The sequence below is a fragment of the Homo sapiens genome, chromosome 6 (genome assembly GCF_000001405.40).
Source record: "Homo sapiens chromosome 6, GRCh38.p14 Primary Assembly".
In the NCBI taxonomy this organism is placed as follows: Eukaryota; Metazoa; Chordata; class Mammalia; order Primates; family Hominidae; genus Homo; species Homo sapiens.
The window spans coordinates 64,045,341-64,065,715 of record NC_000006.12 but is presented as its reverse complement, the minus strand read 5'-3'; the positions used below and the strand labels follow the sequence as shown (position 1 = coordinate 64,065,715).

At 35.3% G+C, this 20,375-nt stretch overlaps 1 protein-coding gene across 2 annotated transcripts in view, besides 1 other annotated feature; it reads left to right on the top strand.

The window, feature by feature from the left end:
• Window positions 1-20,375, top strand: part of EYS (eyes shut homolog) — a 1,987,247-nt gene that overhangs the window by 1,641,511 nt on the left and 325,361 nt on the right. The window lies entirely within an intron of this gene.
• Window positions 18,646-18,940: an enhancer, noted in NCBI's record as "tiled region #10142; HepG2 Activating DNase matched - State 5:Enh". NCBI's record gives its function as "activates a minimal TATA promoter and a strong SV40 promoter by Sharpr-MPRA in HepG2 cells {active_cell/tissue: HepG2}" and the evidence as "EXISTENCE:reporter gene assay evidence [ECO:0000049][PMID:27701403]".

Sequence of the window (20,375 nt, the reverse complement as noted above, 5' to 3'; positions counted from 1 at the left end):
CAGTTAAAACTAACATCCAGTTTTATTGTTCAACAAAATATCTATGGAGTACAGCTGCTAGGAATTGGTTAGTGGGAGCCATTGACTGCACAAAAAAAGAAAACTCAGTAGAAAAGAAAAACCAAAACCAACAGAATGTTAAACGGAAATGTCTTTCTGGATTATATAAATTTTTGGAAATCAGTCTTTGAATTCATTTATGCTTCAAAATTATAAAACATCAGAAAAGAGAAATTGCTAAATGATGATCACATCTCAGGGGCATTACTAAACAAAATTTACATGCAGCAACTAAGAATTCAAAATTTTTCATCAGTATAGCTCAAATTTTTCATATAGTAATAATGGTCTCCAAAGTTACTCTATGTCATTGAAAAATATTCTGTGACTGAGTTCGTCTTTAAAATGACAATTAGATAAGTTAGTCTGATCAGCAGGAATCTTGGCTAACCTATGAAGTTTATATAAATCAAATAAACTTTCTCTGAAACTGCATCAGTCTGAAAATCACATCAACAAAATGGACACCAATCTGAAAATGAAACTTCTTACAGGCAGAGATGGTTTCTTACTCATTTTTAATGCACTTAACAGGGCATCTGACAAATAGGAGATACTCAGTAAATGTCTGAATGAATGAAGAAATGAGGGTGTCTGGGCTGGGCAATTCATTTGCTTATAACAAGAAGGCAATGAAATTACTCTAAGGTAATGAAATCATTATTTGTAAATTACGTATACCCTTTGCAACACTGAGTTCTATACAGACAAAACAAACTCCTTCAGAGCAACAGACAAATATTTCAACCATTTCTAAGTGTTTGCTGTTGATCACTAAAAAGAACCAGATGAGAAGCTAAATAACAGAAAACTGTTTAAAAGGCATTTCTATTAATAAGAACATCATTTTATACAATGTCAACAATTTATACAAACAATAGTACTTTCAGTTATACATGAAATAATTGCTATTCGGGGGTTAAATTCTTAGAGAAATGATTTTCTTCTTTACTTTTAAGTAATAACTTAATAGAGCAGTCCTCAAACCATTCAGATTCTGAGATAGCCTCAGGAAAAAAACAACCTGTAAAATAAATATTGATGCTTCCAGTAAAACTGAAAAGGACTTTCCAAGTGTTTAGATTAATTTTATCAAAACTTAAGAAAGTAAAAAGGAGATATCCCTATGAATGTAAAAATGCAAATCTGCTCTGTGTTATAGGCAATAGCCTACAAGAGCTCAAAGTGAGAGTAGGCTGACCCTAGGACTATATATTACATATTATATATCATTAATTTAAAACTGTTGAGTGCTCATCTGCTAAGCATGCTCTCGATGTCTTAATATTTGCATCTCATTTTTCTGTTTCTCCTGGTTTTGTTCTATATTTAGTTTCATATATTCATTTAACAAATGTTTCTTACTCTACTTGTAGCACTATACTAAGCTACTAGAATTCAATGGTAAGCCAAAACAGAAAAAAAAACTAATTCTTATGTGTATATGGTTTAGTGAGGGTGACTGACAAGTAGACACACTAATAAAGGAATAATTTGAGATATGTTGTTAATGAAAGAAACATGATGCAGGAAGGCTTAAAAAAGTAACCTAGCCTGTGCTAGAGAGACCAAAGAGCTTTAAAAATGAATAGAGATAAACTTAGTAAAAGAAAACACAGGCAAAGCAGTGGTTATGAGTTTCAGGCAAGGGAAGAGTACATGAAAAAACCATTTGGGAGGTGGCTGGATCACCTGAGGTCAGGAGTTCAAGACCAGCCTGGCCAACATGGTGAAACCCCATCTCTACTAAAAATACAAAAAAATTAGGCATGGTGGCACGTGCCTGTAATCCCAGCTACTCAGGAGGCTGAGGCGGGAGAATCCCCTTTGAACCCAGGAGGCAGAGGTTGCAGTGAGCCGAGATCCTGCCACTGCACTCCAGCCTTGGGATCAGAGCAAGACTCAATCAATCAATCTATCAATAAAACAAAACCCTATGCTAGAAAAAACCATGGCATATACAGATTCAGAGACCGCAAAGAACAGCGTGTTTTGAACAGAGAAGCAGAAGAGGGTGCCTTAGTAATGAAAAACAAAGTTTGAAAGGTAGACAGTTTGCAAATGCTGTCTGGCCTTGCAGCTATGTTAAGGAATAATTGAGGAAGCCAGTTAGAGGGTTACTGTATATCCAAGTAAGATATAATGGTGGCTTGGACTAAAGTGACATATTTATGACATAATTAGGAGCAAAATGACTCATTAAATACTAGGAGTGAAAATAGAGGTGTCAAAAACTAATATTCATTTCCTTATGTGCAATTGGATAGCAGATCATCCACAGAGATAATAATAAACAATGCAAGAAGAGCAGGTTAGATTGAGAAGATCGTGAGTTTAAGTTTAAGCATGCTGAGATTAAGGTGCCTTTGAAATACAAAGTGGAATTTTCCATTGAATATATGGAAGTAAAGGTCAGAGAAGGGATCTGGTTGGAAAATATGAATTCATGAGTCATCACTGTGCAGACGATAATTGAAACCATGGGAAAGGATGAGAGTATACAGTAGAAAAAAATTGCCTAGAATGACTCTTGATGAGCTAACATTTAATAACTGTATACTGAAAGATGAAATCATAAAAGAGTCTGACAAGGAGTAAGTAGGAAGTAACAGCCAAAAAAGGAGTAGAGTGTCATGGAAGGCAATGGCAAAGTTTATCGAATGCTCCAGTCCACTGGACTGTCCACATGATTCCATGACCTGAAGACTTCAGTGTAGCAGGATAGAGGAAGAAGCCCGATTAGAGAAAAATCAAGGTAATATGTATATACAACTCTTTGAAGTTTTAATTTGGAAGTATAAAAAGAGGTAAAGTGAGGAATCAAGAGAAAAAAATGTAACATGAAAGAAATTTCAGTGTGTTTAATTAATTGGAATTACCAGTTGAGTAGAAATTGTTAATACATAGAAAACTGATGAAAAAGGGAGAACATAAGTTTCTTCTTCTTTTTTTTTTTTTTTTTTTGAGTTGGAGTTCTGCTCTTGTCCCCCAGGTTGGAGTGCAATGGTGCGATCTCGGCTCACTGCAACCTCCACCTCCAGGGTTCAAGCGATTTTCCGGCCTCAGCCTCCAAGCAGCTGGGATTACAGGTGCCCACCACCACGCCTGGCTAATTTTTGTGTTTTTAGTAGAGAGGGGGTTTTGCCATGTTGGCCAGGTTGGTCTTGATCTCCTGACCTCAGGTGATCTTCCCACCTCAGCCTCCCAAAGTGTTGGGATTACAGGTGTGAGCCACCAAGCCTGGCTGAGAACATAAGTTTCTTAAAAGTTTAGGCCAGTAAGATACAATGTACATGAGAGAAGATTCCTGCCAGAGGGCAGGGAAAATAGAGATACATAGCTTGAGGCTTCTGATTCCTGTCATTGTGGATGTCCCTGGATTTACGATTGCCTTTGCTTTATCTGTCCAGTTGTTTATGTCACCTTCTCTTGCTGTCTCATCTGTTTAGTCTTACTTCATCATTAACTGGGCAAAATTTAGAATTTAAAGGTCTTTTGGTACGGCTTTTTCCAACTTAATTCTCACTAACAAAACTCTCACTATGCAAATGCAGGGTAAATTTCTCCCTAAAAAGCATGTGAGTTAGGTTCCTTTTTCATCATATGAATGTTGACACGATGTCTTCAATATTAAAGTATTTCTTGACAATAAAAAAAATAGCATGATGGCTAAAAACTTTTTTTTTTTTTTGAAAGAGTCTCGCTCTGTTGCCCACGCTCCCACTGCAACCTCCAACTTCCAGGTTCAAGTGATTCTCCTGCCTCAGCCACCCAAATAGCTGGGATTACAGGCGTGCGTCCCCACACCTGGCTAACTTTTGTATTTTTAGTAGAGAACAGGTTTCTCCATGTTGGCCAGGCTGGTCTTGAACTCCTGACCTCAGGTGATCCACCCTCCACGGCCCTCCTAAAGTACTGGGATTACAGGCATGATCCACCATGCCCAGCCTAATAAAAACTTATTTTCAAAAATTAATAAACCATAAGCCCAACTTGTAAAATATGGCTTTATTTTTTGTTATTAGCTATTATTTTTTATTCTGTTATTAGCCAGTACTTCCTCCAACTAAATCTATCTTACATCTGTAGGACAGAAGGGAGAAGTAGAACAAACTTGAATAAGCCACTTGTAGTGACTGAGGTCAATTCAGTATCAAGGTAGAAGTTCTTCTTAAATGAAATGGAGCAGAGATCACAGTTCTACAGGTACACTGTAATTCATACTCATGCACAGTTTGTCTTTCATTTCAGCGAATTTTGAAAGGGATCACATAGAGAGAGCTATTGGTTTTCACAAGGGTTATTCTCTTTTGGGGAAGTTCAGAAAAATTGTCTTACTATATATATACACTTTTTTAAGTTTCTGAAGTTTAAAATTTTCTGGCACCTTTAGTGTCTGTTTTACACAAAAGCTAACTTTTACCCAGTATTCTATTCTCTAAAAAAGCCCTGTGTCCTTTATTCTAGGTGATTTACTGTGTTATCTGCATGTTTTAAAGGCACATAGCCTATTCCCCCTTCCTTAGATGCTACTAACACTCCTGAGAACATTTCCTCAAAGATTTATCCAGAGGTATAAAGTTATCCATGTCTATTGAAGGTACACCCTAATACCTAATAATTTATTTTGGTTAGCAAACTCTTAGGGTAGCCAAAGTGGGATGTTGGCCAAGAACTGTATTACTGCCAGAGCAACACATCTCCAATAGCCACTTTTTAATAGCTCGGTGTAAAGAAATGCATGGTTTAAGATCATCTGGACAGAGGCTGGAAAAGTTTCTAATAGTTGGGCAGCAAGAACCCTTATTAGTATTTGCTAAAACCCAAACATATGTCAAGTGAAATCATTGTAGACATATTTATCACATTACCTTTGATAATATTTGGTTCAGAAAACAAAATAAAAACTGCTAAGTTTTATAAAAGGACTAATTTTTATCTCCTGTTGACGTCTCCATGTCTATGGGATAAAACCTCATACATATTATATATGTAAATTGGTGCAGATTTTTTAAAATTCATTTTAATTAGCTCATTTCTCACAGTTGTTTAAGAAAGAAATTTATTGTAATGCAAAATCCGCATTAACTTCACAAAATGGGAAGAATGATTCTGAGTAGGATTGATTTTGGTCATATCAAATTAAGATATTAGTAAGTAATTTATAGAAAATAGACTACTTCTTATAATACCCATATTTAATTTGTTAAAGGCTCTCAGACACCTCTGCTCAACATCAGATTCCAGTTATCTGCCCTTTCCCCACATATATCCTCTGCATTGCAGCTTGCTTGACCAGATGGTATTGACCTATAACTCAATATGGAGAATGAGCAAGAGACCATTCAATTTCATTTAAGAAAAAAGAATATCCATACTCTATTATCTATAATTTTGACAGTAATTAAAAATGTTACCTATGTTTCTAATTTTCTAAAATATATAAAAACTTTTCACATGTTCCTGGTAGTTAATATTATATAAGCTATGGATTGCATGCTGGTAGTCTTAGAGCCAGGAAACTATGTGAGAGCCTTCACTTCTTGAAACAGATGGTGACTTTTGAATTGTGCTAAATCTATAAGATATTAGATTTATTCATAAAATGTTGCCATGTCAATATGGAAAGTTTGGCAAGATTTTCATATTAAAAAGGTCAAACTTCATCACTTCAATATTAATTTGTGTATCTTTTTATCAGCTCTTCCATCTGGTATTTCTTAGAGGAAATGCAGGAAAACTCAAGCTCAATATGAGAAATATAGGTAATACTTTATCATTATATTGGCATGTGTGTAAATATATAAAGCTAAACATTACTCTTGCACCTTTATCCATGCATAGCCTGTCTGTACATAGCATACATAAAAACTAGCTGAATAGCAAGTTACAATGCAGTTTATTTGTATTAAATTGTGAAGATCTACTGTAAAACTAAAATTTCTTTTATTACATAAGCTTAAGAAAATCTTTAAAAGATATCTATGAATCTGTAAGTTGGTAATTTTAGTACTATTTTGGATTATTGGATAGAATGTTCTACTATATAAAGTTGTCTCTAAAATTTGCCCACTTCTTGAGAAACGTGGAAGTATTAGTTTGGTGTTTATTGATTCAAAAATAAATAAGGTGGAGCATCTCAGTCTGAATGTGAACCTGAGTCTACAGAGTATCTTTATGGAATAATATGCCAGTGGACTCTACCAGCCAGTTTGATGTTTAAAAAACATATTTGAAGTGACTTGACTCTGTAATCACATTTGTGCCTTTTAATTGTGCAATTCACTTCAAATTGTCAAAACAGAATGGCAATTAGCAAAATTTAAAAAGTCAAGACTTAGGGCCCAAATCCTCATCTTACCAAATGCCAAGATGAGATGACAGAGAACTGGTTGACCCTCAAGTTCTGAGAGCAACCACAAAGACCCTACTGAAGAGAAAGGGACAGGTGGCAAGTACATCTATAATATAAAATGAAAAATGAACTCCATTTTGAAGATTAGAAATTTATCAGGGGACAACAGATGAAAGAGGATCTGCAAAGATATCAAGGTGTAGATAATAACATGCTCATGGAAGAAAATGTATGATGAGAACAAAAAGTTCCAGGTGAAAGGATGTTTAGCTCTTCAGTAAGTCACCATCAAACACTGTCATTTCTAATGCAGAGGATAACAAATAAAAATAAAAGGCAAGAAATGTTTTGAGCACTAGCTGTGTATGCTAAGACTCCAGATTTTCTTCATCCTTTATAATTAGTGGTAAATTTCTACCACTGTCAGAAAAGACTATTGAGGAAGTTTAAATTATTTTTGTGCAGTGGCAGAGTATACAGCAAAATAAACTTCAATTCTTAAAAGCCTTCTAATTCTAAAATGTGTATAGTTTACCACTTTCAAGACAAGATTTTGACAGTTATAAGAAAGTAAGGTGAAACAAATGAAGACTTAGGGGCAAATTAAATTTATAAAAATTGGGGCAGAATAGCAATAATTGATGGGGGTCAGAGAACACTCTGGCATATAGCACAGTTAAATAACAGGATTTAACATGTTGAAAAGTAAGATTCAGGGGAAACATCAAGAAATTTGTTAATTAAGTGATGAAGTGGTGATTTAACAATACATTTATATTTTGTATATTTTTCCTTCCACTTCTGTAGTCCCCCTAGCTCTCCTTAACTGGAATTTATCATTATGGTTAGAGAGTATTTGATTCCTGCCTTAAAATGACTATCAGGAAAGAGACTTTATTGTGAAAAACTTTTTGAAGCCTATTCTTAGTGGTAGAGCTCAATCCTTGGAAACATTTTTCTCAATTAACTTCTTTAGAATAATTCTCACTGAGTTCACTCAAAATATAGACCATTCTATTTTTTTTTTTTTAAGAGGTTTAATGGACTCACAGTTCCACATGACTGGGGAGGCCTCACAATCATGGCAGAAGTTGAAGGAGGAGCAAAGGCACATCTTACATGGTGGCAGGCAAGACAACATGTGCAGGGGAACTGACCTTTATAAAACCATCAGATCTCCTGAGACTTATTTGCTATCATGAGAACAGCACAGGAAAACCCTCCCACTGGGTCTCTCCCACAACATAGGAAGATTATGAGACCAGCCTGGGCAACATGGTGAAACCCCGTCTCTACGAAAAATTAGCTGGGTATTATGGTGTATGCCTATAATCTCAGCTGCTTTGGAGACTGCAGTGGGAGGATCATCTGAGCCTGGGAGGTTGAGGCTGCAGTGAGCCAAGGTCGTACCACCAAACTCCAGCCTGGGTGACAGAGTGAGACTCTGTCTCAAAGGAAAAACAAACAGATTCAAAAATTAGCTGTCTTTGAACTTAAATATTAAAGTATGCTAATATATGAAAGTAATATGTTTGATTTTTGAGTGTGAAATAAGAATAAAAATTAAAATAGCTTATGAAATTCAAATAATTTTTACTTATTAGTGGTTTATAATTACTGTGAAAGGTATATGAGCTAAACAGACAAACAGCATACTTGTTTAACAATTAGACAGTGGTTAATTCATAAACTTCTAATCAGACATCTCTCTTTGGATAGTAGCTCTGGCATTCTTTCCAAAAGTTTACTTTTTAAAAATGAAATGTTAGAAAGCTATTGTTTTGGAAATGCATAATTCCAAAAGTAAACCTTGCTTTTGAAAAATTGAAATTGTTATATGTGAAGGTGGATTATAATAACAGAGCATCATTGTTAATAAAAACACATTTGAGACCATTCTATTTTTAAAAAAAAAAAAAAAACCTTACTTTATAAATGAAGCTAAAGGAAGCTATGCCAGATTCCTCCTCAACAAGTTGCTCATGCTTCATCAATATATGAATAAAATGTAGGTATATGTTGATATAAATTGTTTTACAATTTAACATCTGAACTCTTTTCCACCCAACACTATTCAGTTAAGAGTAATTTAATGCTTTTTAAAAGATTTACCAATTTTCTTTAAAATTGAAAGCCTGTTCCATAGACAGGTACTGGTATTGAGCCAAAGTGTTTGAACTCAATAAATATAGAACAAAGACTTTTAACATTTCTTCAGATAATTTATTCTAATGCCATCATAAGACACAGTAAATTTCTGTTTTATGCTATTTGAGATAGAATTCTGTCCTGGTCCCTCTTACTTTTTAACTTTCTATTAGCTGGCCTAATTCTAATTGCCAGTAATATCAGAACTCCATCCTGCCCTTCAAAGACAAAATGTTACAAAGATAAAAAGGAGGAGATTGCAGGACAAAGCCCTATACCAATTACCATAAAACAGGAATTTACTGTGCCTCATGATGACATTATGTTCACAGTACCCAGTGGCATCTGCTGATCTACATAGGGGCTGGTTAGACACCTAAGTACAGCTCCCACCATTTGAAGTGCAAAAATTTCCAGTCAAATGCAATGGACAAGATAGACTCAACCATGCCCTGAGAATCCCTTCCCCTCTACCCAAGGAATAAAATACCAAAGGAACATTCTCCTGTTTGCGTGGTAATAGCAGTGTCACTCATCCCTTTCACTAGGGTGCAGTAGCAGAAATTAGGTTGAAGGAGAATCCCAATTCGTCTGGCACCTTAGCCTCAGGGAAAGTAATAGAAACACAGTTCCAGTTTGGTGTAGCCTCTTAGAATGGGATTATATAGAATTCTTAGAATAGGAAATGTAGGAATGTAATAGGAATGTATTCTCAGAATAGGAAAAAGTAAAGTCTTGGATTGATGATGCACAGAAATCACCAACAGGCGAATCTGATACTTGGCACACATGTGCAAACAAGTCCTGAGGATTTCTAAAAATCTTTGGAGAGGGAGAGTCTATAATGGATTGTAATTCCTGAAGTTAAGAGTGTGTATTCTCAGCCCCTGAAACTTAATAACTGCATCTTAGGTCAAATTCCTTGGAAACAGTCTGTGCCATGGAGATTTGCATGCACAAAGTTTATTAGAGAATGCTCTTAGTAACAAATACTTGGAAGGCAGTGAGGGAAACAGGAGCGAACAGAGGCAAAAGTTGAATTGCAAAGTAGTTGCACCAGAGGCCTCAGCTGTCTGTAAGGGGAGTCTGGACTTGAGATGTTCATATTTTCCTTAATTTAGTCAAGAGGACCAGGCCTTTGCATCCCCCTCATCCCGAGGGGCCTCTGGGCAGCATACCACAGTATTCACCGTAACTGATTGAGGCTGATGGCTACAATCCGCACTTACTGGCTGAAGAAGCCTGAGACATTTGGGTTTGACTTACACGTAAGCAATGTTTTTAGATAAACTAGGCAGGTATCCCCACACCCACTATCGCCCTGCCATAGTAACCAGGGAGCTAAATTCCCTGTGTTAGCGACTGTTCTCTGTGTTCTACTGTTTCTTACGAGGAGTGACCCAAAGAAACAGTGACGCTTCAGAAGAACAGCTAAATACTCATCATACCAAAACCACAAAATTCTAATTGTATAGATGTGCATCAGCAGGGACACATGTAACTCCAAATAATGCCACTCACTGATATATCATTAGAACATACAGCACAGCCCAAGTAGGGTATACCTGGGTATAGAACAAAAGAAGGAATCTTTATAGATTCATTCTGCTTCAAAATGAAGGCACAGGACACGTAAAAGGCAGAATCCTGCGAGTGGGGAAGTGAGGAAGCAAAGCACTCTTTGTATAACTACAAAGGATCTTACATGTTTCTTTTTTGAAACAAAGATAATAACACTCATTTTTCTGCTATATAGGCTTCTGTGAATATCATGTATACGAAAGTGCTTTAAAAAACATCAAGTATCCCTCAAACGAAAGTATTATTGTTATGGTTTTTCACACACACATACACCTATTTCTTCTATTGCTGCTGTAGGACTAGAAAAAAAAATGCTCACTACTTTTTATTTTACAGCATCTTATTAAAAACACTTCATAATTAGGCAGTTAGCAGAGTGACTAATCCACTATCCTCTGGGGCAAATGTCTTTGAAGGTTCTTGCTTGTTAGGCTTGTCTTCCTTTGCAGCTTCATAAATGGGAAAGTGATAGTCCTGGAGCTGTAAGAGGCCAAGCTCCAGGAGGGTCATGCCTCTCATCTGTACTACAGTAAGCAGATCTGTTTCCATGACATTAGGAAAGAAAACTGTCCAGATGATTGTGAGGTGGATAAATAAGTGTCTGTTAAGTTTTGGGCCTGTTACGTTTAAAGCATGTGCTGAAAACTTCACTTGCATTACAGTAATCTCATTTAGTCATTTCTTCATGTCCATTAATAGCTATGTAATACATATTTATTTTGCACTTATGTGACAGCCACCATGAAATATTTTTATACACTATCTCACTTATTCTTTATAATATCTTTAAGGGGTAGTTATTTTTCTGATACTCATTTAAGAAGTGAGGAAACTGGGACTTAAGGAAATTAGGTAATTATCTAAAGTCATTCAACTATAACTAATTGAAACAGGGTTACTACCTAGGCCATTTTACTCTAGAGCCCTTATATTTAACCATGCTATACAACTCATTCCTGAAATATTCTTTAAATGAGGTCACTCTCAAATCAAATCAACAATAGAAAACCTCCCCTTTCTCCATCATTTATCATTTTATGAACAAATCATGTGTCTTATAATCAAGCTTTTTTCTCAGCTCCTTCCACCTTTATCCTCCTCTAATACCCAAGTCTCATGGGCTTGCCACTCCATTGAAGCCATAATCTCTACTGTCCCAAACAGAGTCCTACATTTTCCTACCACATGCATTGTAGCTAGTAATACAGCTCCTTCCTAAATATTCTGGGTTTTTTTTCTATGAAATTGTACCTTATGCTTTCTGCAAGCCATTCACCTTCTGAAAGCTAGCCTAGACTGGTCCCAACTCATACTCAACTCCTTTGCTGTCAATTCCCAGCATGCTCATGTCTTGTAAAGGATTTTTCTATTGATTTTTTGTTATCTCATCTCCAAAATCAAACCATAAATGGTACAGGATCTCTTCCTTTTCACTCATGTAAACTACTATAAGAATGCTAGGAATAAAGTATGTATTTATTAGAGATAATCCCTAAGGCCACATGTGAAACTAAATCAACACAATATAAACAAGTATATAAGGGTTGAAATGTTATAGTCAGAAGAAAATCAATTATACAGACTTCACCATAGAAATCTTACTAAAAGGGATTAGTTAAGTATGTAAAGGCCATGGAAATTTAGCTTTATAGAGAGATTATTTGCAGTAGGTTTGCCACATGCAAATATACAAATAAAATGCTCATACAAGAAATTAGAAAATTGGCTCAAACCTAATGAGAACTCTAAAAGTTGCAAAAAAGGAAATGGCATTAGTAGAGGGCCTTCAAGGTTAAATGGAGAGGCTGTTCATTCTAAGTTTTTTCTTAAAGAAAATGCCTAAATTATATTAATGATAAAATAGCTATCACTAATTAAGCTCTTACTATTGTCTAAGCATACTTCTTGGTCTTCACCTGTAGTTAATTATTTACACCTGTATTTAATTATTATTTCTAATATCCACCCAGTGAGTTACTATTATACTTATTTTAAAGAAGACAACATTGAGGCACATAAGCCAGAGGACACTGAAAAATCACACAGAAGTTTTCAAAGTCAAGAAATTTGAATCCAGAGTCTAACTCTAATCACTACTCAATATTGCATGGTCTATATTACAGGCAACAAATGAAGTTAAAATCTCTTATAATTTACATTTCATGAAAACCTTAAGAAATATTCAAAATTTTCTTATGTTTTTAATTCTAAAATATGCTTTATAAAATTACTGAACATAATTTTGGAAGCTCAACTGTAATAAAAATTAAAAATGTATAAAATCTAAAACTTTTATTTTCTAGTTTCACTTATATGACTGCCATTTTTCTATTAGAAATTTCACACAATAAAATTTAGCAAAAGTTTTATTCTAATTTTGATAATATATTGAAAGAAACATGCAATTGGTATGTCATCTATAAACTCTGGAATTTCAAAAAAAGGGGGTAGAAAAAGTTATTTTTACTTATCCCACAAAATATGTATGATAAATTTAAACATATTTTAAAGTTGTTTATAAATTATTATATGCTGCTATACTTATTATAAATCAAAAATTTTAATGTATTTGCCATTATGAAAAAAGCCATGTATTAGTCTGTTCTCACGCTGCTGTGAAGAAATACCTGAAACTGGGTAATTTATAAAGAACAGAGATTTAATTGACTCACAGTTCGGCATGGCTGGGGAAGTCCTCAGCAAACTTACAGTCATGGCAGAAGGCACCTCTTCGCAGGGTGGCAGAAGAGAGAATGAGTGCAAGTGGGGAAATGCCAGACGCTTATAAAACCATCAGACCCCGCGAGACTTACTCACTATCAGAGAACAACATGGGAGAAACCACCGCCATGATTCAATTACCTCCACCTGGTCCCGCCCTTAACACGTGAGGATTATTACAATTCAGGATGAGATTCAGGTGGAGACACAGAGCCAAACCATATCAAGCCATAACATTCTATTACTTAAAAATTGTTAGGCTATAATTGGTAAGTACTGTTTAAAAAGTGTTTAGAAAATATTTTTTTCATCTTAGAAAATTACATGGATCAATTATAGTTCTATTGTAGACAAATTCCATAAATGCAGGAAAGTTTAGCACATTCCCCTTCTATCTAATACAAGGAGGTATGTTATACTAAAATGAATATTTATTTCTAATTAAAAGACTGATGCAAGTTGATATGCTAGTTTTCAGATTTTTCTCAACCAAGATTACTAATTATTATTTGAGCAAACAGTTGCTTTAAAATACCACATGTGAGTTGCTCAAAAGTATGTCTAAGTGCTTAATTAAAAAGTTTTCATTGCTGGGTTTATTCCTAGGCTCAGGAATAAGAGGAGTGATTTTTTTATTACATTTGATGACTCTAACTGATCCACTGAGAAAATAGCAAATTTTATTTCTATACTATTTTAATGGTCGAAAATAATTAAGAAGTGTTGTCACAAAATATGTTTACTTTTTTCTAAAATATTTAAATGTAAGATTGAAAAGTTACATTAACAATAATGTAGTTCAATCCCCTCATTTTTCTGATGAAGAAACTTCATGCCTGAGAAGAAAGGAGACTTGCATGGAGCCACATGACTCAAGGACAAAATGAGAAAGTTAGAACAACTAGATGAACATTTGGCACTCTTTCCCCTGCACCCATCTTTTATATCTATTATTATAGGTGACATATGGCTACCTTTATCTTTCCCCTCTCTGTGACCTGTGTTTTACTTCCTATTATATATAAAGAAAAGAGCTATCAGTTGTTTGTTCATTATGCCAGGCCTTCAGAACACCTGACTCTTTTCTTTGTGAAAGGATCAAGAAATCCAAATCAAATAACTCCTCTTTTTCAAACCTGACCTGGAAGACTTCTGTTTATAAGAACAATCATGCTCATTTATCTGGTCATCATAAGTGAAAATTAGTGATCTTGACTAACACAAAGATCACAGAATCTTAATTTTAAAAAACTATGGGCAAGTCACTATTCTTATCCCTAATGCATATGGGATTTATCTAAAATCACCTTAAAGCTTGATAGTATTAGCTAAATTTTAACAGTAATGGGAAATTGCTATTCCAGGAAGCATCCTATTCCGTTCTACATTGATAGACCCTGTACATGTTAGGGATTTGTTTACATTAAGGAAAGGTATTTTTCCTTGCAATTTTGTGTGCATTAGTCCTCTACCTGTTCTTCTAAGAAAAAAAGAAAGGACACATATAACTCTATAAATTTATCTTCCTGTTTCTACTTAACTGTCCTTAACAATTTCCTAATCATGAAATATAAACTCTATGCAAGCAGGACTAATGTTTTTAATCACTATTTCTCCACAGCACTTAATGTAGTGCTAGTATACAGTATGTGTTTAATAGATATTTCTCAAATGAATGAAGCAAGTTTTGTTATCTTCCCTGTGTTTTTTCTATAAACAAAATACTCCCAGCTCCTAACCCATTTTCAACAACATGACTTGGGAAATCCTCACCTTCCTAACTATTCCCTACATTCATCATTCAACGTATCAGCTACCAGATAATCTATCAGAGACAATGGAATTCAGTATTCCCCTTATAATATAAAAATGCATAACAAAAGTGAGATTATAATATGCTCAAACAAGAATGAATTCACTTTTCTCAATATTCAGATCATTCAGATTGTGATTTTAGCCAGCTAAGTCCGTATGTCTTTTTAACATAAACTGCCTTAAATTATTTAAGTTGCTTAGTCATACTGCCAGATTTTACCACTTTCATAATATGTAAACATCCTCAAGAGATTTAACACATTAAGCAAAGTTCCCAATCATTCACAGCTTGTGGTCAATTGCTTCCATCAGATATAATTTTCTCCTAACCCCTAGCTGAGAGAGCAGCATGCTGAAGGAATGGAAGTTTGCAGAGATGGAGTGAATGATTTTGTAACTTGTGGCACTGCCCAGAAAGTCAAGTTTGAGTACAGCCCCCAGTACTAGGAAAGAAAGAAAGAAAAGAGCCAGGGTGAGAGTTTAACACAGTAAGGGCATTTAGGATAACACTGAAACAAATTTTTTCCCTATTCATGTATTTTCAGTATACATGATTCAGTACATTTTAATTAGGAGTCTACTATGAGTCAGGTACTATAAGACCCTCTAGTTAAGAGGAGAAGGGAAAAATGTGTTTCTGACATTATGAAATTTTAGCCTACTAAGACAAATGTAAGAAACAAGTAAACAAGTATATAGTTAGTCATTTTGAAAAATGTCCCAGGTAAAATAGAATTCAGAGATACAACATAATGGCAGGGGGTGGGAGGGATTCAATAAAAGAGTCAGGAGAGAATTCCAAAGAGGGGATGATCAGAGATACTTGGATGAGAAGAAGCCTGTCATTTGAAGAATGAAGGAATGTATGTGGATGTGGATATGAACATAAATATATCTCTGTTAAAGAAAGAAGGCAGGGTGAATAATGACTGCTATAATAACATGTTTTAAAAAGTGTTACCAAATCTGAGAAGTACTGTGACTTTCTTTCCCCTAATAAGATGTCAGAAACTCACTGCCTACACAGGTTCAGGAGAGCAGCCTTCTTGCAAATTCATCGTCTGCCTGGGCCCAAATTGTCTACCTGGAGTGTGTGCTGGCTCTGTAAGGAGTTGAATTTCCACCCACCTGGGTGCAATGGAACAGGCTGTCACAGGCTGCTGCACATGAACCCCGTTTTTATGACTATTTTATAACCTCATTTCTATCTGTCTTCAGAAAAACTAGAATATCCATCTGTTGTTTCTGCAATATCAATGTTCTTAGTATTTTAGTCAATCAGATGGTGCCCTGTCTAGTTTCTCCGCCAAGTGCCTCCTTAGACTTTGCCTGAACACACTCCTAGGATATATTTGAGAGGTCACAAGTTGGGCTAATACAAGCTACATACAGGGATGTCTTTTCCAAAAGTCTGTAAAACACACCCACCTCTATCTGCCTCTAAGCCACCAGAGACCACTCATCTGGGCTTAAACACCTTTAGTTTCTAATGCTTTTCAAAGTGGTACCTAAATTCAATCCAATGGGAAAGAATTGAACATGTATGATGTGGTCAGTACTCTGCTGGGTGCTATGGAGTATAGAAAAGTTAATCACCAAAATATTAAAAATATTAACTGTAGTGATAAGCATGCTAAAGTATGCCTTAGCATACAGTGAAATGTGCTCATCTCTGCAACTTATTTTGCAATTTAAACAGAAAATAAGGTGAAGAGATGGATGAATAGAGGGATATATATGTGATAGTGCAAATATAGCAAAATGTTAATCAAATACAGCAAAATGTTAATTGTAGGATCTAGGTAGATACATGACTGTTTACACTGTGAAATCCCTTTAACTTTTCCGTATGTTTAAAATGTTTGACAATAAAATATTGGGGAAAAACAACTGATCACTGTTTATGTGAACCTTACCATTCAGCTAAATACTCACACAAAATAACTACTATACTGTGAAGTACTGATTGTAAGTGCCATGGGAATTCAGAGAGAAATCAACATAAATTGACATATGAGGAAGTTGGGCCACTTGAGATTTGAAGATGGTATAGGATTTTCAAAGATAAAGTGGGTGAGAAAGAGCATTTCAAGTGAGAGAAACAGCATGAGCAAACATCTAGGGGGGGAAAAGAATGGCAGGAGAATGACTGAACCTGGTAGAGAATAGTCAGAATAATTGGAAAACCTAGTGGAGCTACATATGACAGGTCACGGTGGGTGGAAAAAAATCTGTGGTTCCTTCTTTTAAGAAGTTGATAATATTTAGTATCAATCAGAGGAAACAGAAACCAGATTTCCAAAAGAGTGGTCATATAGTCATATAAAAATGAACAAAAAAAAATGACTAGATGAACATGGGCACTTCATAATACTTCAGACCTCCAGGTAATCATGAATCTGATGATGTAAAATAATTAAATGAAAAACATTTGAGCCCACCTTTATCACCATGATTTTATTCTACTAGAGAAGTTAGATGCCATGTTTGTACTGGGGCCATTTGAATCCCTCCTTTCCCATGACCAAGGTTTCTACAACTTTAGCTTTTCTAGGCCAGCTCAGGTCACAGCACGGATGACTATGACAAGGCACGGTCATTTTCCTCCCTCATATACCACATCCCCTCACCCAAGCACAGAGCCATGCAGAACCAAAGTCACAACGGAAACAACTGAATGGAAAGTTATGGAGTAGCTCAAGGATCAAAATAAATTCTCCAGAACCACATTCAGAAACCACAGAAATGGGTGTGTGTCCCTGAGATCCAGATCATTCTCTAGAGAGATACATTCCAACAGTTGTCATCACCACTTAAAATTCAAAATCAAGGCCGTGCGCAGTGGCTTACACCGGTAATCCCAGCACTTTGGGAGGCTGAGATGGGCAGATCACCTGAGGTCAGGAGTTTGAGATCAGCCTGGCCAACATGGCAAAATCCCGTTTCTACCAAAAATACAAAAATTAGCCGGGCATGATGGCATGCATCTGCAATCCCAGCTACTTGGGAGGCTGAGGCAGGAAAATCACTTGAACCTGGGAGGCAGAGGTTGCAGTGAGCCAAGATCGCACCACTGCACTCCAGCCTAAGCAACAGAGTAAGAGTCTGTCTCAAAATAAATAAATAAAATAAAATAAAATTCAAAATCAAGGGAGAGTACATCTGAGGAGACCAGCCTCTGCTGCAGCCCACCCCTTGGCCAGAGGACGGTCACCTTAATGATAGTTCCCACCAATGCGATATTCAGTAGGGACACGTAGTTTGTCCAAGCAAGTGACTTAACCTTCTAAGATGCACCTGAAAGGGGAATAATAGCAGTATCCACCTCACAGAATTGTGCAAGGACCAACTGAGATGAAAATAATAGAAGGGAACTCACATGGTGCTTATTATGTGACAAACACTCTTCTGAATATTTTGCAAATACTAAGTCACCTAATTCTATAAACAGCTCTTTGAGACTTATGTGATTAAACTTTGCAACTCACATTTTAAAATTTAACTCAAAATTAACATGAAACAATTATCATTCTGTCAGGCATTTTTATGCCTGAGTTCTGCACGCCCATCAAGTATATGTCTCTAAAAGCATCCACTTGAAAATTTGAGCCTGTTTATTCATTTCTCATTTTGTAGATTCTGTCACACTTTTTCCCTACCGCACGTTGATATAATCAGTTTTTGTGTTTCTGTTGTTTTTTGCTGATGATGGTCCCATTTGTTTCTCTCTCTTTGCCTACAGATCATTTTTAATAACAACCTCTGGTCTCCTAAGTGGAATTATTGAATTATTACTTCTCCTCACCAAAATAGTTTATAATATAATTACCACAATTTTATCTTGTTTTTTTTTTAACCTAATGACACACTTTAAAATTAGAGATGGGAATTGAAAAACATCTTTACCTGGGGAAAAAGGTGCCTAATTTTAATACTTGGTTAATTTCAAATATGGAATAATGAGAGGGGGAAAAAAAGTCATTAGGTGAAATATCCTTGGTGTCCCATGTTATCATTAACACTTAGCACAGCATATTATGAGAATAAAGGGAATTTGCAGTGACTAGCAAGCTAAGCCTGACCTCTGCTCTACAACCTTCAAAGAGGAGAGAGAATGTAAAGCTAACCCTGACCTCTGTCCTACAAACTTCAAAGAGAATGGAAAATGTATAGAGCCACAGACCTACTGACAGACTATACCTCATTCCTAGGGGAGGATCTGGAGGTAGTAAATATGGAAACAATTTTTCAGGCAAAGAAATATTCTGATGGTAAGAAATATAATCGAATGTGAATATCAGTGTGTGATGTGCTGACTGGATGAAGTTTATTTAGAGAAAAGGCAGCACTTACAATTCAGTTGTCCTCTTGTTTTTAAAGACACTTAGGCAGCTTTTGAAAATACTATTCCCCTACCAGGACACTGTTTCTCCCTCAGTAAAAAGAAAGGAAATAAATTCTATTGTGTTTCTGGTTGAAAAAAAAAAAAGAATAAAGCTTGAGCCTCCTTTCAGGTCAAATTCATGCTTCAGAATTAAGTTAAGATGTAGAAGATGGTAGGCACAAGCCAGCATGTGTCCTCCCAGCTCACTGCAAGATGCTCATAAAGATGATCCTTTTCATCCTCTGGTGAATCCAAATAGATGGACAGATGGTGAGAGAGAGAGAGAGAAACAGATAAATCAATAGATAGATACGGACAGGAGACATTTTAAATGTTCTTCCCCTTAGATTCCTTTTTGTATTTTAGGTCTGAAATCGATCCCTTCAAATTGTCACTGCTTACTGTTAGGCAGGCAAGATTCAGGCCTGATCTCAAACCTCAAGAAGCTAATGTTCTCAACTATATTAAAAATCTCTAAAATATATTACATATGTATTTTATATATGTAAAATATATTTCTAACGTATTTAAATACATTACATATGTAATTATATGTAAATATATGTAAGATATTTATTATATATAAAATATAATACATATATTATGTTACATATATAAAATATATAATACATATTTATTATAGATTACATATACAAAGTATATAATACATACGTATTATAGATTACATATATAAAATATATAATACACACATATATGTATTATATATTACATATATAATAAACATATATGTATTATATATTACATATATAAAATGTATGGTACATATGTGTATATTACATGACACATATCTATGCATATATACATATATATCAATGTACACATACATACATATATATAATATTACATATTGCATAATATTTAACAGTTGTTAATAATTTGTTTCAGGCCAAGCATGGTGGCTCACGCCTGTAATCCCAGCACTTTGGGAGGCCGAGGCGGGCAGATCATCTGAGGTCAGGAGTTTGAGACTAGACTGGCCAACATGGTGAAACCCCGTCTCTACTAAAAATACAGAAAATTAGCTGAGCCTGGTGGCGGGTGCCTGTAATCACAGCTACTCAGGAGGCTGAGGCAGGAGAATCGTTTGAAACCAGGAAGTGGAGGTTGCAGTGAGCCAAGATCATGCCATTGTACTCCAGCCTGGGCAATAAGAGCAAAACTCTCTCTCAAAAAATAAAATAAAATAAAATAAATAAAATAAAATAAAATAAAATAAAATAAAATAAAATAAAATAAAATAAAATAAACTTGTTTCACCCAAACATTAAAAAATGAGTTACTCTTCGGGAA